This window comes from Homo sapiens, chromosome 6 (genome assembly GCF_000001405.40).
Source record: "Homo sapiens chromosome 6, GRCh38.p14 Primary Assembly".
Classification (NCBI taxonomy): Eukaryota; Metazoa; Chordata; class Mammalia; order Primates; family Hominidae; genus Homo; species Homo sapiens.
Window position 1 is genome coordinate 54346576 of NC_000006.12, and position 24450 is coordinate 54371025.

Sequence of the window (24450 nt, forward strand, 5' to 3'; positions counted from 1 at the left end):
TGTAACTAATAGTATTAGTTAATAGTAGTTACAACAGTTAGTAACAGTAGTAACAGTAATTGTAACTAAACAAATATATTCACTTCGTTTTATATATATGTATAAACAAGCTGAATTCCATGTCTACTAAAACAAGATTAAGATAATAATTTTCATTTATATTATGAGCACAAAAGTGTGCTATGTAGCCTTTAGATACTGTATAAGATAGATTCATATTAGTCTGGATTAGCTTAAGTATGGTCTCCTGGGTAGTTAAATTAGATTAAACCAGTTTAAAAACAAAGAATTCAGTTTTACTCCAATATATCAGATGACTGTGGATGAATTTCCAATGAATATTTCTATGGTTAGTTTTCTTGATTGCCCTGGTTTAGTTAAATTCATTTAGAAAATATGTATTTTCCCATGACTATATGCAAGATACTGTTCTAGGTACAGGAAATAGAAATATAAGGAACATATGGCTCTTGCCCTCCAAGAGTTTCACCTGACAGATTCCTTAATGAGGAGTTCAGGAGTATACAGAACATCAAAGGAACAAGAAACTAAAAAAATCTTTGAAGTCAATAGGACAATTGAGTAATATCAAAATAGGACAAAAATTATAACTGAAAGTATGACACAGTTCAACTGTCTGGAATACATAAATATATTAATGCTCTTTGGCTTTAATTATAAATTATACACAGTTTTAAAGACTACGTTAGGGTTCAAACAAAAAGGGTTATGTACCTTATTAGAAATACCGTGTATCATTTCAATATTAATTGATATTCTATTTGAAACAGGTGTGGCTGCTGACCGAATAGCAATTCAGTCTAAGGGTCGATACACGGCCAATCTATCCCCTCAGAATTTGATCTCTTGCTGTGCCAAGAACCGTCATGGATGCAATAGTGGAAGCATCGATAGGGCTTGGTGGTACCTGAGAAAACGTGGGTAAATAGCTGCTCAACATGTGTTTCTAGGATTTTTATGAATGATGCATTGTGTTAGAACAAGGAAAATAATCCCAAGATTTTTACAAAAAAGTACTTAAAAATATATATACTACATCTACATGAATATAAATATGCTACATTTAAATGTATACTATATTTCTTATCTATTGGGATTAGAAGCTATTAGAAACACCTCCTGAAGAACGTATACATTTCTAGCTAAATTAATATGAATTTTACTTTTGAAGACTCAAGTAAATATTTTCTTTTTGTTGTTCTGAGCCAAGTGAGTCCCCACAGGCAGAATAAAATAATCAGGGTTGCTGATCTCTCTGCTGTGCTTTTCAGTTACCCAGATTGATGAACAGATAATGTCAGGTAAAATTAGGCTAAACATAAGAATAATAATATAAAGAAATAATTTACAGTTGTTTCAACTCATCAGTATTGTTCATTAATTTTCTCCACTCCATTTGATGAAAAATGGGGGCTGCATTTCCTTACTTTCATGTAGGCTGATACCCATATAACATCCTTGTGTCTTCTATAAGAGCTGATCTGCTAAAAAGCTGAGTTATTCAGCTAAGGAAGCTGCAGCTGATAAAGAGTGTTATATATATGTACTGCTCACTTGCTCTTCATCATCCACTCAGTGCTCTGGGTCTGCTATAGGACTAGTTAGATGCTGTAGAAAATAGTGTATGTCAGATTTTGATGGGTTGCAATAAATTGCTTTAAATTTTTTCATACGTTTTGCCTAAAATGTGGTACTTTGAATGGGCAACTTGGGCTGATACTTTCCTTGTGTACTAGTGCTTGGTTGGCTTGCATTTTGTATTATGATAAAAAATAACAGCCCTTTAAGAACTTAAAAATGTAAATTATTATTGAGACCTGACTAAATCTCATTGTATTGGATTGCTTGGGGTACTGTAACAAAATTCCATAGACTGAGTGTCTTCAACGCAAACACTGATGTTGTGGAGGCTGCAAAATCCAGGACCAGGCTGATTTGGTTCTTGGTGAGGGCTCTCTGGCTTTCAGATGGACACCTTCTCACAGTGTCCTTACATGATGAAAGAGAGCTCTGGTTTCTTCCTTTTCTTATAAGGGCACTAATCGTATCTATTATGGCCCTAACCTCATGACATCCTTTAAAGTTAATAATCTCCCAAAGGCCTACCTCCAAATATCATTACATTGGGTATAAGTGCTTCAACATATGAATTTTAAAGTGACACCATTCAGTCCACAGCACTCATCATTTAATACAAATGTAATGCATTTAATGCAATATTTTTTAGGTTGTTTGAGTGTTTTCAATGGTTTTGCTTTTGTCATGTTCTTTCCTCAGATTCTCATACTGTGTTGGAAACACATTACATTTTCATGAACCAATCCTTGTGGATACTTCTATGGCCATTTCAGCATAGAGTATCTACAATACCATTACCATGATTTTATTTCCCTTACAATTTATCTTTTTATTCAATATTATTATGTTTGAATTGGTGCCGAATAATTTCTACTTTGCTATGTTTACTTTCAAAATCAGAAATCAAAATCATTTTCTCTTTTAGATAATACACATGTCTGATAGTTTTCTACTTTATTAACATTTAATATTATATTAATATTATACTATTTCCCTCAAAGTATCACGAACTACAGATATATGATTGTTTGTATTATGTGAACATATCTATAACTTAATAAAAATATACAAACACAAAAACAAAACAAAATAAAAACTTTAAAGTTACAACTTACATAATTTTAATATCCCATCTGGAAATAGTCAGATTCATTGTCTGGTTTATATTAAATTTTAAATTTAGCTCTTCCAAATTATAATTATATAAACAGGTTGAAGGGGTCCTTCCCCTATTAATATTACCACAGACTTAATATTGACAGCCATTTTTTATCTTCAGGAAATTCTATACTACAGATAGAATTATTTATAAAAATTGATCAAAGCAAGATTTTTAAAATTATAATGAAAAAATAAGAGGAGGGTAGGGAAGAGTGTAATGTCATTGAGCTTCTGTGTTGGAGTCACTCACTATTTTGAAAATTATGCATGTAAGTAACCAGAATAATTTATGAATGTTTAATTCAGTAAGATTAAATATAAAAAGGATATTACGACATTCTCCTAAATATTACCTTTGCTTCTTTGCTTATTCCTCATAGACTGGTATCCCACGCATGCTACCCACTTTTCAAAGACCAAAATGCTACCAACAATGGATGTGCCATGGCAAGCAGGTCTGATGGGCGAGGAAAACGGCATGCCACGAAGCCATGTCCCAACAACGTAGAAAAATCTAACAGGATCTATCAATGTTCTCCTCCATACAGAGTCTCTTCCAACGTAAGTATAAATGGCAAGAATCAAGAATAGTTGGCTTTCTCAAATGTATATAGCTCTACTGTAACTAAAACAATTTAAAAACTAATTAAAACTATTATATTCTAAAATAAATATTATATTTTCATGTATAATTTTTAATATTTTTAAGGACTTTCAGTTTGGGTATGATGTCTTATCTTTGTAACATTAGCAGTGTAAAGGACTGACTTAAATTTTAAAATGTCCAAGGAAATAGGGTTTTAAAATTATGTTTCATAATATGTGTATATACATATATTTGAACTTGACAATTAAAAGTTAAGTTAAACACTTTTTCACTGACTTTTTTGTGGTATTAGCTCATTTTATCAATCCTTTGCCTCACTCAACAAAATAATTTAAGAGGACCTGGGTCTAATAGAAAAAAGAGTCCCTTGGATTCTAGTTTGTCTGTTAAAAGCCTAGGCGAATTTACTTCTTCATATCAGTGTTCCCCAAGCCTTCTCGTTTTCAGAATTTGTGAACCTCCAGTGTCTTCTAATTATCTCCAGAATACAATTCGGTGTTCTAACCATAGCACATTGGCCTTTCATGAGTTGGTTTTGACGTACTACTTTTATACACTCATGTCCTGCCAGCATCTGCCACTCTACCCAGCCATAATGCTCCTAATACATAGAACTAGTCTCTTTTCCCCAGGTACACCATGCTCTGTTATACTTTTCCACTTAGCTAGGTGATAATTCCTCTGATGCAAATGGTTATCAAGCCTTTCCATCTAGAATGCCAAGCAAATGTCAAGGCCCAGGTAAAAACTTCATCTTCTCTGTGACGTTTTCCTTGATTTCCAGGCAGAATTAATTTTCCTTTTTTGTTTGCAAACGTAACACTTTGCGCTTGTCTCTACAATGGATCTTATTAAATAATAATGAAATTAGTAGTGTCATTCAACCAAAATGTAAATACCTTGAGTATAGGTGCAGGGTCAATATTTGTTCCTGTCATAGTTTCTGGCATGTACTTTGTGCTCAATATGTACAGAAAAATGGATGAATGAGTGCCCTGCCTCCCTACAGAGGGCTTCATTAAACATTAGGAGACATCATAGAAATATTTGTACTAAAGCTACTGAGACATCTAACTAAACAATCATTTGGGATATCTCTTGTGAGAAAAAAATTAGAGGTACTAGTAATCTCCACTAATTAAATATTGCTTTAACTTACATTGTTTCTTTATAACCATAAAAGGCTATTGTATTTTGTCTCCACTCCAAATTTACTATTTAGTGATAAATGTCATTAAAACAAATGGGTGCATCTTGTCTTTAACAATTTCATTAATGTAGCATAATATACGTGAGTTTTTCAAAGTACAATTGAGAGTAAATTGCAAACACTTAACATTGTACACCAATCAATGGGTTTAGTATGCTCTGATAACAATGATATTGCTTATTCATATTTTTCCATCCAGGAAACTGAGATAATGAAAGAAATCATGCAAAATGGACCAGTTCAAGGTAAGCTTGAATGAAATACGGTTTTTTCTTACTCATTCCTTTAATAAACAACATTACATTGAGCTCATGTAATAGGAGTTTAATAAAATAAAGAAAATTTTTACTTTAAGAGTATCCAAAAGGCTTCAACAGTTCTAAAATGAGTGCAGTTATGAGAAATATGCTTACCTATATCTTAATTAGCTGCCATTTTATTTTCAGAAGATAGACTCATTTATAAATTGAACTCTTAAAAATTAATGACACATTTGATGAATAACTCCGAAATCTTTCCAAAGTGATCATGGACCAACAGAAAGTCCAACATGAAATGCCAACTGACTAATTTGTAATGAAGCTTACTTTATTTATTCAGTCATATTTAAGAATCATACATACAGTTTTCTTATCTTCAGTTTAAATAGATTAGGTCGTGGATTGAAAAAATTGAGGATTAATATTTTCCTTCTATTAGCTCAAAATAAAGCGAGTAAACTAGTGTAATTTTACATTTTACAAAAGGTTTTCAATTTTGATCAATTTTGTAAATGTTTTATTTAGAGTAACAGTAAATAATGAAATCATACAGTTACTTGTATATTGCCTTTGATTTATATCATCTCTTATGATAATTTATTCTGCTTACCTGTTGAATTTTATTTTGCATCAATGACCTGAATAAGGGTATACTCACAGAATGTATTCCCTGTATAAACATTGGCTTGAAGTGCATGGAAGAACAAATCCAATGAGGTCTAAAATGAAAATTTAGGTTGTGAATACTGAAGGGCCCGGAATATATTATCAATGCAGTGGAATAAAAAATAGGCCAAAATTAAATGTAAAACATTTGGTACACACTTAAGGAACTGTTGCCAATTTTAATTTTTCTGAATACTGATCTAATTAGTATCGGTTAAATATATATAGGCAGGAATCATGGATTTTATAATTGTGTTGGATGAATTTTTATTGATCATTATCACCACTTAGCATTTATTGAGAAACCACAGCCTACATAAACATGTCCTGAATTTAATTTTTAAAAATTATGGGAAAATTATGGGACATTACCCAAAACCTGAAACAAATGAAGAGAAATTTTCTGTTCCCCCTTACAGCTGTTGGTTATTTGTTGGTTATTTGAAGAGTGAGGGAATTAATCTCTAATTTCAATGCATGCTCCATTAAGTGGTGCTTGTGTGACAAATTTAAAAGATCACAGGCATTTGGACTCAAGGTTACACTAAAATATCCCAACTTTGGCATTTGCTGTTTAAATAACTTTGGGCAATTTTCTTAACCTTTCAGAATCTTCAAGTTGTTGTATTATTGTTTCAAGTGTTTTTTTTTTCTTTTTCCCTCTCTCTCTCCCTCTTTTTAAATCAATCAAACAATTTTGAATTGTAATTATTTAAAATTGAGAAAATTTAAATACCTTAGATTTATTTTATGGCCATATACTGAAATGCTCATAAATTTCACAGAATGAATAAAAAATAAAGACATAACATTTCAAAGCAATAAAACAAAAATGCAAGTTATTCAACATTCATTTAACAAAGATTTCTTGAGAACCTGCTTCCTGCTAGCCTAAGCCAGGAGCAAGAGACGAGGAACAACCAAACATCTCATCCGTGTTATAATTCTGTATAATGAGTTTGCTGCAGTTTTCCAAAAGTAAAATTGCATGATTGTAACTTATATAGTTATATATTCGTGAATTTATCAAGTCTGTTTGGTATCAGAAACTGCAGAAAGAAGCCATCTTTCAGGTAATTATGGTGGCTTCTCATCCTTTTTCTTAGGTGGCAGTGTTTTTCAGGAATAATGAATACATTTTATTTATGATGCTTACAGGAAAGTTGAATCATAAGACCTCAAAGAGTCAATGGTTCTACAGAAAAGAAAAGCCACTAGCAATATCTTCACATTTTTATAAATGGATAGAATGCTGGTTGACTCTTCTTGCTATAAATGTTACAGGATTGCCTGGCCTGGCATACGGCATTTCCCCTGTCTCAGTACGAAAGAGTGTAAAAGCCAATAGAACCCTGAATGAATAACTTTGTGTACATTCTTCTAAAATCTGTAGGATTGAAAATAAGTATAGGTGATGGATAGAGAACAAAAGCAGAGATCTGCGTAAAGTACAGTTACATAAATTCTTAAAATCCTCTAGGAATGTGTTTTAGAGTAGATAAAGAAGTTTTAACCTCTTTTGCGACTATTTGCACAGCATCAGAAAAGGCATGGAACATTAAAAAATGAAACAAAAACTGGAACATTGAAAAGTTATATTTAACTTTGGAGTATAAGCTTTTTTAAAGGATCTGTCAAACACTAGTTACCTTACTTCCTATTTTATTTAAAATGCTTGTCAAATTAAGACAAGTATTGTACACAGTTATCAAGCTATACATATCTAATCCCAATTAAAAATTTTCAAATTCATATCTTCTATAAGAGAAGTTTAAAGGCTTCACCCTGAATTGCCAAAGCCCTTCAACAAAGCAGCACACAATAGAGAGATGAAGTAATTTAGGTGAAGGAAGGAAGGAGAGCTTTCTAAAATATAAGCCCTGCTTTTTAAAGTGTACAACATTGCTTATCTCTCCAGAGCTGGGAGGATGAAATTCTGTCAAAGTTTTATTTTGCCAGGAGTTTGCTTTTTTATTCCAACTCACAAAAGAAAGGTTTGTATTTACTTATGAGGATTAACAACAATTGCTTTAAGCTCAGTTTGCTAGGCTCTGCTAGCTTAATTGGGGTTTTAAAAGGCTTGTGGTAAAGCACAAGGTTAGTGGAGAAATAGCAATCACTGACCAAGTATAGTATGCTTTTGTTGCAAGCGCTTAATTTTTGGTAGTAGCGTCTCTGTTGATTAAGACTAGATGGTGTTTTAAAAGCATAATGTGTACTTAATATTCTAAATAGCTAAAAGTTGTTTTTATAAGATAAAAAAATATTGCAACTAATTAATTAAGTAGGAAAGAAAATTAGGCTGAATCACACAGCCCCTTCTTAGATTCATCTCCTTGCAATTTACCCATTGGTTGTTCCGTGAAATTTTCTGGTGGTTTTTAAAGATGATATTTTAATACTGTGCCATTTGTTCTGTTGGATTTTATTTTAGCCATAATGCAAGTCCGTGAAGATTTCTTCCATTATAAGACAGGGATATACAGACATGTTACCAGCACAAATAAAGAATCAGAAAAATATCGAAAGCTTCAGACACATGCAGTCAAACTCACTGGGTAAGGCAATTAAACAAAATTCATTTAATTCTTTTGGAAAATGAAACTGAAAATAAGAATATGCAGTGTTTTAAATGCTAGAATCCCCTTTGTAGGAGAGATTGTGATACAAATGAAAAATGATCTAAACCTTGCCACTATTTAGTCATTATTTTAAAGTCCAGTAAAAGGCTAACTCAGCATTCTGGGAAAAATGATCTTTTCCTACCTCTCACTTCTTGTGATTATGTCCTTAAGAATCCGTTCTAAGGGCAAAGAACATGTATTATTGAAATAAATTCTACATAAGGCATAATCAAGGGAAGAGAGCAAATCCAAGGCGTATTATGGTTTGGGGAGATGGTTTTGAATAGAATTGCAAATAGCAAAGATTAAGCAGGAAGAGAAGGTCACCTATAATTCAATATAAGGTTACTTTATATTTATGTGAGAATTGTAGAAATTAGATTGATCAATTTTTAAGTAAAATATATTAATCTATGCAAGGGAAAGAAAGAAGTTCAAAATTTGGTGGTGGCATTTCAAGAGTGAGTAATTTTACAAGTAGGCTGTACTCTGAAAGACAGTGTGGTTATGAGACCACTTTCCCAGCGCCTTCTCAATTTTATTCTGACTAAAACATCTCATAATGTCTCACTCTAGTTCAAATGAAATGCTACAAAGTTTTATTTTCCATCTAAAAATCTCACTCTTCTCATATTGCATATTATGGTAAATAACTTCATTCCCATTGAACATGTCTTTAATGACTTAATTTTATTGAGCCTACGCAAAACAACCTCACCTACAATCAAATTGTTGTCTTCTCCTTACTGATCTTTGAAACACCTTTAAGTCAGTTCTAAGCTATGTAGACAAGCTGTCCTGTGTGATGCTTCCTTAATCGTTGTCCTTCCTTTATTTTAAATACTCTAATATTTCAATTACAAAATTATCACATTTCTTTGAATCTAAGATAATACTAATTTTATGACTGTGCTGATTTCATGAATATGAAAATACATGTATCTTAGGATTGAAGAATGTGATTTTCATGTTAATGTAGGATGCTGAATCTACAAATTGGAAAAAATGTAACGTGTGTGTGTGTGTGTGTGTGTGTGTGTGTGTATTTATAAATGTTTTCACCATTCCTAGATAATAACCTCTGTTGAAATCTTGGAGTATTTTTAATGAATCTCCTAGATATATAACTATTGAGAAACAAAGAAAGAAAGAAGGAAGGAAGGAAGGAAGGAAAGAAGGAAAGAAGGAAAGAGATTTCACAGGAAAACAAGATAGTGCAGTACTTCAAATTTTTTGAAAAGGAAAATTTTGCTAATGTTTTTCTCTAGCAGTATATAAAAATGCCAGTTTCTCAACATTCTTTCTAACACTGGGTTTGAAAGAAACACTTTTCCATTTTAATAGGGTTATAAAACTGAATAGTTTTAATTACTCAGCATCACTGGTCTTTGGAAGCCTATGGTAGCTTCCTATTACCCTACTTTTTAAGGTTATATGGAACAAGGTGCTTGCCTTAATTTTTAAAAAGTGTATCATTTTTAATAAAATGAAGATACACTCTCTACTAAAATTAACAACTTAAAAAGAAGATAGTAAAAAATACCAAATCAGGCCAGGTGTGGTGGCTCATGCTTGTAATCCCAGCACTTTGGGAGGGCAAGGCGAGTGGATTGCTTGAGGCCAGGCATTTAAGATAAGCCTGGCCAACATGGTGAAACCCTCTTTCTATAAAAAAAATACAAAAATTAGCTGGGCATGGTTGCAGACACCTGTAATCCCAGCTACTCAGGAGGCTGAGGCACGAGAATCGCTTAAACCCTAGAAGTGGAGGTTGCAGTGAGCTTAAATCTGCACTCTGGGCAACAGAGTGAGACTCTGTCTCAAAAAACAAAAATTCCCAAATTATGTCATATTAATGCTCAAAGATCATTATTATCATATTTGGTAAAAAACATGTCAGGTAAGTCTTCTCTTGCTCTCTCTCTCTCTGTTAGTGAAAAGTTTGACAAACAAAAATAGAAAGACAATATAGGATAAGTCATTTGAAACTATTGCTATTCAGGCTAACTTTACTTGAATTTAATAAAATTTAATTAAAAGAGACATTTTTGATTCTTCAACAAAGGATAAGTTCTTGTCTAAATCTCTCTTCATTTATTGTAGACTCCAGGCCCTCTTAGCTATTCAAGGACATGCAGAAGCAATTTCTCCTTTTTCTTCTCTGTAATCATTTCTATTTCTACCACCATACAAATAGTGTTGTTATCCCTCAGATTAAAAAAAAAAACCTCAGCACTTTTTTGGACTCTGCTTCCTCCACACTCCATTTATGTTCATTCTTTACAGCAAACTCCTTGCAAGATTTGCCTGGAATCACTTTCAGTTCTCTTTCCAATCTTTCTTAAACTGCACCAATCATGTTTTCATTACTCCCGTCCTCTTCACAAAAATAGCTATTTCAAGGTTATCAAAGGCATCCACATTGCTAAATTCATTGGTCAGATCCCAGACCTGCCCATCCTCTTCATCTGATTTTTTTCTTTTTGGCCACAACTTTGCAGTGTACTTTGCTGCATTTTCCCCCCTGTACTTCTACATTTCTTAACGTTGACATGCCCTAGTCTCAGGTCTTGTTTCTTCTCTTGCTTCTAGTCTCACTGTGTCTGGTGAGCTCATCATTCTCTGAGTTCATCCTGGCTTTAAGTGCCATCTAAAAGCTGACATCAACTGAATTTATATCTCAGCTCAGACCTCTTTCCTGAACTCCAGACTCATACATTCTATGACCTATTTGACATCATCACCTGGATACCTTATTAGGGAGTAAATGCTTCAAATTCAACACTTCCAAAACAGAACTCCTGATCTTCTCCCTTTATTCTTGCTAAACAGCATCAATCTTTTCTATCTTAATTAATGACAGCTCTGTTCTTCCATATTCTCTGCTGGAAGCCTTGGAGTCATCCTTTATTCCTTTACTTCACAATTTACTTTCAATATGTCACAACCTCTTTTGGCCCTTTCAACGTATATCCAGAACTCAACCACTGTTTACTATCTGAACTACCATCACCCTTGCCTAAGCCACCATTGCCTGTTATTTTGTACCTGGATTACTGAAGTAGCTTCTAACAAATTTTACTGCATTGATCTTCGCTCCTTGACAGTCTAGTCTCAACATAGAAAACAGGGTTTTCCTTTTAGAACTTTAGATCTTGTTATTCTTTGTTCAGAATCCTACAATATATTCCCAATTCCATCAGATTAAAAGCCAAATTTCTCACAATGGCTTATAAAGGGCCAACATATTCTGAGGACTCTCCTTCTCGCCGACTCCCACTCCCATCAACTTTCTGATCTCAACTCCTACCCATCTGTACCTTGATTTCCTGCTCTAGTGATTATTTAATGTTTCAGCAACATGTACCCCAGTGCCTTTCCCTCTACCTAAAATGCTCTTCTACTGTATATACAGTTCCTTAGTGTCTGTGTCTCCACCCAGTCTCTGGTCAGGTCTCACCTTCTTAATATGTCCTCCCTGGCTGCCCTATATAATTTGTGACTTGCCCTCTGCTCCAGCAATCCTGATCCCCCTACCTGCTTTATTTTTAAAAATTTTATACAATTATCACTTTTTAACACAGTGTATAATTTAATTAGCTTTTTTATGTTGATTGTATATTGTCTGTCTTCTTTACTAGAATGACGTTCCATGAGAGCTGGTGTCTGTATTATTTACTGAGGTAGCCAAACCACTAAATACGGTACTGATCCGTTGATCAGTAATGCACTTAATGTTTTCTCTTTTCAACGAATGAATGAGTTTTTTCCTTATGGTCTGCACTAGTTTTCCTTTGCTGTTACTTATATTTACATGGAGAAGTTATTCGTCAAAAAAAAAAAAAAAAAGATTAGGGAGAAATTAGAGGAGATAGCTGAGGCACTCTTCAGCTTCGATTCAAGTTTGTAAATGTTGAACCTGTGCTCATCAGATCAACCTTTGCTGTTATCCTGGGAGTTCTGCCCTTAGTTTATAGCTCAGATAGTTTGATGGGACTTATAATAAATTCCTTACTACTACTCTTTGCCTTTCTTTTTTACTTCACCCTGCTGCATCATTTAGCCATCACCCCTGAAGGGCTGGCCTGGACTTTGGCAACCCAATTGACTTCTAGTATGAGATTTCTTTTTCAGCTGACCTCCAGTGGGTAGTACGGGAAGGGATTGACATCTGATCGCATTAGCTTGCAAATGGTCCTCATTACAAAAATCTTAAGGGGTGTTTCTAGACTGCATTATGTACTTCTAAGGGGAAATTTTTCCTATTCAGGTCCAGTGGTGCAGGGGAACGGTTTTGGTGAATGCCGTCTCAGCACCCATTTTTCTTCGGTACAGAACAAAAGGTTTTTTTGTTATTCAACAAAGTTGTGTTTTGAAATTATGACCATTTGTTTGAATTTATTAAAGACAGAAATCATTAAGGTCTTAAAATTCATTCCATTTTATTGTGCTTTTCCATTCTTTTTCTGGGGCTTTTTAGGAAGGTAAATGGAATAAAATGTCTTAACAGTGTCACTGTAACTGGAAATTCAGCTCTACCTAAGTTCCATTTCCAGTAAGTTCAAAAGTCTAATTCCTTCTAAACTTTTTCCTATATATGTTTCATTATCAATTTTTGCCCAATCTAGGGGCTTCCTTGATCTAGAAAAAATTTTCTACCACACACTAGGTAATTGACTTATACTTTTCTATTATTCATAGAACTAAAATTCCATTCACTGTTTGGAGCCTCCTTTGATTTATTAGAACTGACCATTTATAACTTCTACCACCTATTTAGTCATATTGGTCATGTTTTCTTTTCTCTAATTCTATATTCATTTATGCTCAGTTTGAACAAGATGTAAATGTGTTTACATTTAATCCTCTATCATTGTGTATTCACATTTGGTGTGTCAGTTGCAATAGTGAATTCACTTTTATAAACTCCTAGAAAATTGGGATCTTTATAAATTTACTTTACTCACGTAACAATTAAGGCCAATTCTGCTAGTAGGCAAATTAGTTTTGGAAAATATATACTTTTTTAATTTTACAAAAATCTTAAGTCACCTGAGCATTGGTAGGTGCCCTGGAGCAGTTAGATTTTAATTCATTTATCCATTAGGATTTCCTGATTTGGTAATTACTACATTCAAGAAATGAATGCATTAATGAATTAGAGAGCAATCAAATAGCTCAAGTAAGTAAATATTCCTTATCAGAGAACTTAATATACTCCTAAGAAGTACCTAACTAATGTAACACGACAAATTCTGTTTGCTGCGCTTTTTGTAGAAGGTGAAACTATTAGATTAAACTTATTGAAAAAATGAATTTGATCTTCTATCAAGTGCCCAGAACTGGGAAATACAAGGAGGATTGATTTATAGTCCTCCTCTTAAGGAGTTTAGCGGGTGAGGCAGATACATTCGCAATTGATTCTAGCATAAGGTGATAAAGGCTATATATTCCCATACATATAACTCACAGGACTGTGGTAGGTAGATACAAACCTGTAACACATATATTTGCTCCTAGTAGCCTTATTTCCCCCCTCTCTCTTCCCTTTCAATAACTCTGTCATCCCCATTTTGAATGCTATGGCTATAGATGCATTTAATTGAATAAATAACACTATTTATTTTGAAATACGGCCTTATTTTATATACCAATAAAAAGAGGAAAATATTTCTGATTAAACTAAGAAACTCCATCGATTATGGTATGAATCCCAATTTTAGAGATGTTAAAATGTCATAAAAGTGTGTTTTACTATCAACAAAATATGGTATTTCAGATTTTTATCCCACCCAATATTCTCCATATTATGGTCCTATTCCACATCTCCATGCCCATTAGAATTTGCCCTGTGTCCCTGTCCATTGAAGGTCTAAGCTTTATTTAATCCCCAAGTCTCAAGTTGGTTGTAATGCATTAATGCCATTTACTTTTGCTTATAAATCTTAGGAATTAGTGCAATAACTTAAATGAATAAATTCAACAGTAACATTTTTAGAAAATTACAGGAAAGAATTAGTATAAACATTGACTTTTTTTCATCTTGTCATCCCTGTTTGTGGAGCAGAATCTTACTGAAGATATATAGTCCTACCTCATCTTATTGTGCTTTGGTTTCTTGTGTTTCACAGATACTGTGTTTTTTTTTTTTTTTTTTTTTTTTTTTTTTTCAAATTGAAAGTTTGTGGCAACCCTACATGGAGAAAGTCTGAAGGTATCATCTTTTTCAACAGCATGTGCTTGCTTGAGTCTCTGTGTTACATTTTGGTAATTCTCACAATATTTCAAACTTTTCCATTATTATATGTGTTATGGTGACCTGTGATTGGTGATTTTTGGTGTTATTATAGTAATTATTTTGGGGTGCCGCAAACAGCACCCATATAAGATGGCAAACTTGATTGTTAAATATTGTGTATGTTCTAACTCTTCTATCAATGGGGCGTTCTCCCTTCTCTCTCTTTTCCTTAGGCCTATCTATTCCCTTAGACACAACAATATTAAAATTATGGTAATTAGTACTCCTATAAAGGCTTCTAAGGGTTCAAGTGAAAGGAAGATGTATTAGTCCATTCTTACACTGCTATAAAGAACTACCTGAGACTGGGTAGTTTATAAATAACAGAGGTTTAATTGACTCATAGTTCCACAGGCTGTGCAGGAGGTATGACTGGAGAGGTTTCAGGAAACTTACAATCATGGCCAAAGGGCAAAGGAGAAGCCATATCTTCACATGGCGATAGGAGAGAGAGAGAAGAGGGAAGTGCTACACACTTTTTAAACAACCAGATCTCATGAGAACTCACTATTACAAGAACAGTAAGGGGGAGATCCACTCCTATGATCCAGTCACCTCCCACTAAGCCCCTCCATAATACTGGGGATTGTAATTCAACATGAGATTTAGGTGGGGACACAGAGCCAAACCATATCAGAGTAGTCACACATTTCTCACTTTAAATCAAAAGCTAGAAATGATTAAGCTTAGTGAGGAAGACATGTTGTTGGAGATTGGCCAAAAGTTAACCCTCTTGTACTAAAAAATTGGCCAAATTGTGAATACAAAAGAAAAAACCTTGAAGGAAGTTAAAAGTGCTAATCCAACAAATATACAAATATTAAGAAAGCAAAGCAGCCTTATTGCTGAAATAGAAAAAGTTTTAGTGGACTGGAAAGAAGATCAAACAAGCCACAACATGTCCTTAAGCCAAAGCCTAATTCACAGCAAGGCCCTACCTTTCTTTAATTCCATGAAGACTGACAAAGGTGAGTAAGCTGCTGAAGAAAGGCTTGAAGTTAGCAGAGATTGGTTCATAAGGCTTAAGAAAGGAGGCCGTCTTCATAATATAAAAGTACAAAGTGAAGTAGCTAGTACTGATGGAGAAACTGCAGCAAGTTATCCAGAAGATCTAACTAAGATAATTGATGAAGGTGGCTACACTAAATAACAGACTTTCAATGTGGGTGAAACAGTCTTCTATTGGAAGAAGATGCCATCCAGGACTTTTATAGCTAAAGATGAGACATCAGTGCCTGATATCAAAGCTTCAAAGGACAGGCTGACTCTCTTTTTAGGGTCTAAGGTAGCTGGTGACTTGAAGTTGAAGCCAATGCTTATTTACCATTCCAAAAACCCTAGGGCCCTTAAGAGTTATGCTAAATTAACTCTGCATGCATTCTAGAAGTGGAACAATAAAACCTGGATGACAGCAAATCTGTTTATAACATGGTTCATTGAATATTGTAAGCCCACTGTTGAGATCTGCTACTCAAAAAAAACACATTCCTTTTAAAATACTGCTTGTCATTGAAAATGCACCTAATCACCTAAGAGCTCTGATGGAGATGTACAAGGAGATTAATGTTGTCTTCATGTGTGCTAACACAATACCCATTCTGCAGCCCATGGAACAAGAGGTAATTTCTACTTTCAAGTGTTACTACTCAAAAATGCATCTCATAAGGCTATACCTGCCATAGATAATTATTTCTCTGATGGATCTTGGCAAACTCAATTGAAAACTTCTGGAAAGTGTTCTGCATTCTAGATGCCATTAAGAACACTTGTGATTCATAGAAGTTCGACATATCAACATTCACAGGAGTTTGGAAGAAGTTGATTCCAGTCCTCAGGGATTACTGTGGGTGGATTTCGAGACTTTAGTGGAGAAAGAAACTGCAGATGTGGTGGAAATAGAAAAACAACTAGAATTAGAAGTAGAGCCTGAAGTTTTGACTGAATTTCTGCAATTTTATTTTATAAAGGAAAGGTAGAAAGTGGTAAGAAGACATATGATAGATTTGGCCCAATTTTGAAGATCTGAGAAACGTCGCTGAGGAAGTAAAGTCTGAGCTGGGATTTATGGGTTGTATAGAAACATGCAAAGGGAGCAACTTGTGTGAAGTCCCTATGCTTAGAAGACTACACAACACTGTGTGGACACAAGGAAGATTGTATTTGCTGAATCACAAATGGCAGGACTTGTAGACTATATCACAGATTTTTGTCGAGGATGTTAAGTATGTGGTTAAAGATATAAAGAGCAAAGGAAAGTAATTGAAGTTTTTTAAGTAGAAAAGTGGCATAATCTTTGTTTGCATTATTTAAAGATTGCTCTGAGTATAAAGAGAGTGATATAGAGGCAAATTTCTGTATTGCAAGTAAAAGACAAGAGTTTGGACTTGGTAAGATGGTGGAAGAGTTGGGAGATATGAGTGGATCAAGACATATTTGGGGAGAAAAGCTGTAAGACATGATGTGAGTTTGTAATGGGGCATGGTGAAGGAGAAGTCAAGAGTGATCCACCTTTAGAATTATGGCAGGGAACGGTGTCATACAATGAGATGGAGAAAAAGTCTACTGTGGGATCTCATAGTTTAGAGATGTTTTTGAGACAAAAAAGTGCCAACGGGTATCAAAAAAAAAAAAAAAACAGGCAGATTTACTGATCTCACAGGAGAGAGAAAAGTTGAGCATGGGTAGGGCTACACAGAAAAAGAAGACAGACTGATTGAGACTAAGCCATGAGAACATTCAATATTTATTTACTGACTAGAAATGGATGAGTTTACAGAGACAGAGTGGGAGAGGCCAGTGAGGTTTAAAAAGAAAAAAGTAGGAGAGAGTTGCTAATGTAGGGTTTCTTAGAAAGCTGGAAGCCTGGAAAGGTTGGTATTCAAAGAGCATGCATAGAAATTGGTCTTAGAGAGGGGACCAAGTGGTAACTCTGTTGTATCTGGAGAGAAAATGAGGTTAGTTGAAAATGTTTTGGTGTTTAGAGTAGTGGTAAGTTTAGAAAAATTTCTGTTGGAGTGCCTCTTTTATCTTTAGGAGCTAGAAGGTTAGGTTATCTGTAGAAAAAAGATGTGGTGGGAGGAGAGGAATGTACAGTTAGAAATGTGAGGAAAATTAGATAGTTTGTAATGGTCATCTAGGTGTTTAGGAGGGGAAGATAACCAGGGGAACCCAAAGGGATCATTAGGCATTGGTAATAGTACCTTTCTGCCCTCTTGTGTGTGCTTTCTGCAGTTGTGGTCAACTGCTCATCTGTATGCAAAGAGAAATGGGAAAATGAGTTCATCCAAGACTGATGATTTTCCAAATGGGTGCAATAAAAAGTCAGAAACGAAAAAAGGGTTTAGGATATGCATAACACATCAACTCAAAGATTGATATGTTACTAAAATGACAGAAAGACTGATAAATGGCATAAGACTGATAAAAGGAGAGAATTGAGGAATTTGGAGAAGATAGAAAAATGATTGAGTCAAAATAGACTAAAAATATTTAATAATTCAAATATATTAATAGAAGTTTATTTTTTGTTCACATAATAGTTTGTCATGATAATTCTGATCTCAGTGATTTTAGGATTCTTTAGTTTCTTTTTTGTTAGATTTTTAAAACCATTATGAGAAAATAAAAAAGTAATTATGTAATAATAAGGAAATAATATTTTACAGGTTAAGAATACAGTTTTATAAAGTGATTAAAAGCCATAGTTTTCTATTTTAGGTACCTCAATAAGTTACCATACTTTGTAGTCATAAACCATTGATATCTCTATATCTATCTATCTATCTATCTATCATCTGTCTATCTAGCTCTGGTTAAAGATATTTGCCCTTTAGGAGAGCAGAAAAATAATGCCTCAGTACTGAATTTTAATGTATTTTTACCATATTTTCCATACAAATAAATTTTAAGAAATCCAAGATCATAAATTATTATTTAGGGCAATTACAAATTATTTGACATAGTTTTGTTGGGGCCACCATTTGTTTTTCTCCATTTATCTTTTCTTTTTCCTCTGTCTTTTTGAAAAACAACTGAATGCTAAGCTGAATTTTCATGCTATGTTATGTTTAACCTCTGGCAAATTGATCAATTCAGAGCAGATGTTTTAATTAGAGGTTCTTAATGCATGGGGAAGTCTAAGACAGTTGAATGAACATTTCTACTATGCTTATTTAGCAAATGCAAATAAATGTGCGATAATTAGTATAGACTTTGCAATAACATTTAATTCGGGTGTTAGAATGTCTTTCGATTGCAAAAGGCTTCTCTCCTCCTTGCACTTTTCTTTTTTGGTGGGGTGCACTGGTTTGAATAACAGTAGCCACTACCACAAATAGACTCAAAATATTTAATAATTCAAATATATTAATAGAGGTTTGTTTCTTGTTCACATAATAGTTTAGGATGGGTGCTTTTAGTTGTTGGGTGACTCTCCTTTATATGGTTTCAGGGCTTTGAAGCTCTTCCCATTTTCTTGATCTATCATCTGTGAGGGTCACATGTTGTGATCTCATCCAGCCTAGGGACAATGAAGAAGAGCATAAGGAAGCCTTCTTAAATGTGCTTCTTAAAGCCTTAACTCAGAAACAATCCACAACTCCATTCATATTCCTTTGGCTAGAACTCATTCAATGGCTCCACCCAAATGCAAAGGTGACTGGAAAATGAAAAGATTTGATGGGAACATTTTAATGAGTTATATTTTGGAGTAGAATTCCAAATTTGCATAAATTTTAAAGGAAAAACCCATTAGAGATTCAAATTTTGAGTTTGTAGAGAGCTACCTTGGTCTGTATCTCTCAGGGTCTCTGAGATTGTATGTTCTCTCTTTAGAGAGTCTTCACTGAGAAATTTAGAGAATCCCTGCTTTATAAGCTTGAACAGCCAGGTGCAATGGTGTGTGTCTGTAGTACCAGCTACTTAGGAAGCTGAGGCAAAAATCTTGTTTGAGCCTAGGAGTTCATGAACAGACTGGGCAACATAGAGACCTTGTCTCAAAAATATGAATAAAGTAATACATGCTTTTGATACCAACTATATCCATAATCACGGTAGTAGAACTATCACTAAACAACTGTAGTAGAACTCTCACGAAATACAACCCTCATACTTTTAAAATCCTCATGAGGTGGGAATTATTATTTCATTTTGCCAGAAATAAGAGACTGAGAGTGTTAAGACAACTCTTCAGGTTATCTGACTTCAAAATTAATGGTCTATGAATACTGTATCTATATGCGTACACGTACGTGTATGTGTGTGTGTGTGTGTGTGTGTGAAAAGGAAAGATACAGTGTCAAGATTCCTCAAAGTCTGGTTGCCTCTTAGGTTTTCTCAAACAATTGCTCTGTTCCCTCTTTTACTAGAAAATTCTTTAGGATAAAAACAAATGCAGTTTTTTTAATATCTAAAATTATATTCTTTCTTGCTTTGAACTACATGTTTAATATATAGATTAAAACATTTGCTTAATTTTTCAACAAGAAATTCTTTAAAAACACATAATACATGTCAAGTACCATGGCAGGCATTAAGAATACAAATATCAATAGAATAGTGCCTCTGTCCTCAGCATCGAGATAGAGAAGAGGGAGGGAGGGAGGGAGAGAGAGAGAGAGAGAGAAGAAAGTGCCAATGTCCAATGTCTTAAGTGTGTAGATGGAGATAGGATAGGGATATACATTGAGTAGCGAAGATGTGCATTATCTAGGAAGGCACATAATTCCAAATCTGGGGACCAGGGAAGGTTGCCAGGAAAAAATGACACCTACTGTGGAATGTAGTCAGGCAAGTAGAAAGTATTAAGGATATATGAAAACAGAAAGCTGCTCCAGGAAATATGAGCAGGAAATGCCTAATCTCACAGGGAGATAGAATATGACATATTAAAGGAATCTGAAGGAACTTATGAGTAAGTGTAGAGCAAGGAGGAATCTAATAAAAAATGATACTAAGAGGTAGCCAAGACAGGGGGCCATTCTTCTATTTAATGATGACTACTTACTGATCTTGGAGCCTATCCTGGCTTTCTTCCCTGTCTCTGAGTTTTCTTTACATTCTTCCATTGTTTCTATATTAACTTACATGCCTTTGCAGCAACATTGTTTGATTTACAGTGTAAATTCTAAGACGTGTTCATGTGACATCTCTTTTCCCCGTATCCTTTGAAATGATGTTCCTGATAAAGAGACCAATATGTCTTTTACGTTTGCAAGCAGTTCAGTTCAGCATCCTAGTTCTGAGTCATTCTACTTTGAGATAAATCTGAGTTTAGGAACTGTGACCAAAGTAAAGAAAGAGGATTTCAGTAAACTGCAAGGCAAGTAGTGGAAGCTGAATAACATTTAAAAAGTAAAAGGAATGTTTTCCTGATGCACTTTGGCAAAGATGAGCTCCGGGAAATACATACATAAATTTGCCTGACCTTGAAGTGCACATAGTCTAATAGTGGAGACAGCTACATGGACAGGTAATATTGTAAATTCATTGGTTTAGAAATGAATGGCATAAAAGTATATAGAAGCAAAGAGAAGAACCCTACCTGAGCATGTGCAGGTGCTGTAGAGATGGTACAAGTGAAAACTGGAGTAGAAAATGGCCCAGAATTAAAGGCGAACGTGTTAATTATTCATTTGAGCATCCTCTACTGTGAACTCTTTATTGTTGTTCTTTGTTTATTTTTCTAGTAGAGTGCTAGTTTTTAAAACTTGTTGTGTATGAGCTCATTATGCATTGAAAGCTGTCTTAGTTCCTTCAGACTGCTGTAACAAAAATATCATACACTGGGTGACCTACACAACATTTATTTCTCACAGTGTTGGAGGATGGAAAGTCTAAGATTGTAGTACCAGCATATTTGGTGTTTGATGAAGGGCCTGCTTTCTTGTTCATAAATGACTGTCTTGCTGTGTCCTCACACAGGGGAGCTCTCTATGGTGTCCTTTATAGGGGCTAATCCTATTTATGAAGATTCCACCTTCATCAAGTAATCACTCCCAAAGACCCCACCTCCTAATACCATTGCAATGGGAGTTAAGATTTCAACATAGGAATTTTGGGGGGACACAAACTTTGAGTCCGTAGAGAAGAAATATCCCTTTAGAATATTGAGTAAACCCCATTATTGTTGGATTTTGTAATTTTATTTCTGATGGTTTTGACCTGTATAATATTTTAACTTTTATTCTAGATTTTTAAAAGTTATATATTATACTAAATATTATGTTACATATGTTATAATATACAACATATAATATATTATAATGTATTATATATAACATATTATATAATTATATGTTATATATTAAAGTAATTATTAAGTAATAATCAAATAATAATTTAAATATTAAATAATAGTTATTAAATCATTATATTAATTATTATTATACATTATTAAATTATTATGTAATTATGTCAAAAGTATGCCTGAAAGATATTTGGGCATATGATGTGTGGTGAAGATCTAATTTTTTTCTTCAAACTCTGAACTAAAAGCTTCAATATTGCATAATTAATAATGTACCTCTTCCTCACTCTTTTAATGCATTTTATTGCTTATTAAATTCTTATATAAATTTATTAGGGTTTGATTCTAGGGTGTCTTGTTCAACATGCTCACTTTTATAATTCAATGTATTCCACTTAGTTTTACTACCAGGTATTGCACGCATTGCTTCATTGCTCTCATTTTTCTCAATATTTATGTAGTTATTTTCTTGTTTATTTTTCCAAGTGAGATTAAAAAACAAAACAAAAACCTCAGAACAACTTAAATTGAATTTTTTTAACTAATAAAGAGATAATATAGGTATTTTTACTTTTTAAAAACTACTATTAAGTACCGTGCATTTTGTTTTCTTCAGATAAATGCTATATTTCAGAGATTCTTACATTGAAATTTTGAAGGCTTGTACATTTTTTATTACACATTTGAAGGCTACATGTAGATATTTATGATATACAATATATGAAATATATTCAGATATATTTTTAAATAATGTTTACTGTTTTCTGATCATAAAAGTAATAACGTAGATATTTGACAGTTTTGAATCGAACATTCCTGGTTTTTATGACTTGCAAAGTAGCCCTAGAATTCAAGAGTTATTTCAATATGTAATGTTTGTAAGAAAATTTGAAACATGAGCTGTAAGGCTGGTGTTTGAAAATAAGTCACTTATGCTTGCTCCTCATGAGCTTACTCATCTCCATATGCAGTAATTCTCACACGATTTTTAGAAAATCACTTTTTGCTTGTAAAAAGATGACATTCAGTGATAGTGAAAATTAGTATAATTTAGAAAAGAAAAGAACTTTGGTCTATTGATATGGAAAGAAATACACTATTATACACATTAAAACAACTCAAAAGAAATCCAAAAGCTTTGTTTCATGCTTACTAAATTGTTTGGAACTTTTAGAATGCAAGAGCACACATATATATGATAATCTCTATATGTATACTATATAAATAAATTTTAAAACTTAAAAATATAATCCAGGAGTTTTGAGCTAAAACATTAGAATCTTGTTATTAAGGTACATTTTAAAATTATACATTTCATGTTTAGGAATATTTTTGGCTGTATTAGGACTAGGAGCATGGCGTTGAGTTAGTGTATGGGAAGCAGTTAGAACAGCATTAAATAATTGAAGCACTATACACAGAGTTAGCAACAACTGTTACTATTTTAAATATCATCATTATAATTACTGCCATTATGATATTAATAAAGCCAACTCATCAATCCTTATGATTTAATTTTCTAGAAACACATAAATTTAATCTGAGTTGAAAATTAGATTAAGTAAATGATTATAGGGTTAAACCATTGAGGAAATAAATTAATACTACCCCAAATAGCTTTAGGTCCAGATAGTTTAATCTGAATTTTTTCAATGAAAAGTTACCTTATAATTACCTCCAGAAGATTTTAAATTACTGAAGATTATCAGAAAACTAAAAAGAAATGGCCAAACAGGGAAGAGGAAAACAATGAGGAGTTGATGTCACACAGACCTAGAGGAAAGAGAGTTCTAAGAAGGCAGGAATGGCCTGTAGTGTGGAATGTTGCTGAGATGTCAAATAAAACCAGGACTAAAAAAATGCCCAGTGAAGTCTGAAGAAAAAGAAATAAATAAATGACAGTTGGTTCTTCTTGCTGAATCTTTGAATTCGTGTCTGCTGTTATAATTGCATGCTCAAATGTCATTACAATATTATTTTATGCCCACCTTAAGTCCTGACAAATATGATTTCTTTTATGTGAGTTTACTTGGCATTAATATATTTCTATATTGTGGGTGTATTAAAGGTGGTGAAAAGAAAAGATTACATGAAGGCTAAGAAAATCCTTTGGCTGTTATGTTGAATGACTTCCAAAAATATTTGAACCTTACTACAAAGTGAAAAAAATGCAACCAATATAAATTATAAATTATGAAATATATAATATGAAATAGAAATTATTTCATTTATTTATATACTCTCAAGTTTATTCTTAATTCAAACTTTCAACAAATTTTATTGAGTGATGGTTGTGTACCAGGCATCCTGCTAGTGCTGGAGATATGGAGATGAATAACATGGAGAGCCTTGGTAAATAAAATAAAGTAAATTATGACCCTTGGATTTGTTGCAGCCATCAATTAGTCACTCAAGGAAGCCACTGAGAGGTCCCACAGGACTGTTGGGATCTTTTGAGCTGAACTCACTGTCGGAAGAGTAGAGGTGCAGAGGGCCCTGGGGATGTTGAAACTGATAGATGGGCTTTATTTTTTTTCTGTTTTCAGTGCTGATTGAATCATGTTGCCTTGTCTGTCAGTACTGAATCAACTTGACAGAACAGTTTGTGTTCCATTTGTTTTGTCTTGTTTGACACTGGTCCTTCATTGATTCATCATCTCAAACACTGATCAGGTCTGTTCCACTCCGTAAGTGCTATTGCTATGAACTGACCTATTACAAAACAAAGCAAGACAAGGCAAATAACAACAGTAAGAAGGAAAAGCTTTCTTTTTATTCA

At 33.6% G+C, this 24450-nt stretch overlaps 1 protein-coding gene and 1 long non-coding RNA gene across 10 annotated transcripts in view; one reads left to right on the plus strand and one right to left on the minus strand.

Annotated features, from left to right (window-relative positions):
• Positions 1 to 24450, plus strand: part of TINAG (tubulointerstitial nephritis antigen) — an 82281-nt gene that overhangs the window by 38714 nt on the left and 19117 nt on the right. For 8 of the 9 annotated variants that reach the window (XM_006715062.3, NM_014464.4, XM_017010745.2 and 5 more), the window contains 4 exons: positions 792 to 942; positions 3141 to 3321; positions 4777 to 4822; positions 7938 to 8061. In XM_006715062.3, coding sequence (XP_006715125.1) covers positions 792 to 942; positions 3141 to 3321; positions 4777 to 4822; positions 7938 to 8061 — 502 coding nt within the window. Of the gene's footprint in view, positions 1 to 791; positions 943 to 3140; positions 3322 to 4776; positions 4823 to 7937; positions 8062 to 24450 lie in introns of those variants that run through there. The other variant, XR_001743344.3, reaches the window with a different exon arrangement.
• TINAG-AS1 (TINAG antisense RNA 1) lies at positions 18865 to 21051 on the minus strand. Its single transcript, XR_001744174.2, has 3 exons — positions 20967 to 21051; positions 20430 to 20603; positions 18865 to 18944 (listed from the first exon to the last, which is right to left on the minus strand). It is a non-coding gene; the product is annotated as a TINAG antisense RNA 1 (long non-coding RNA).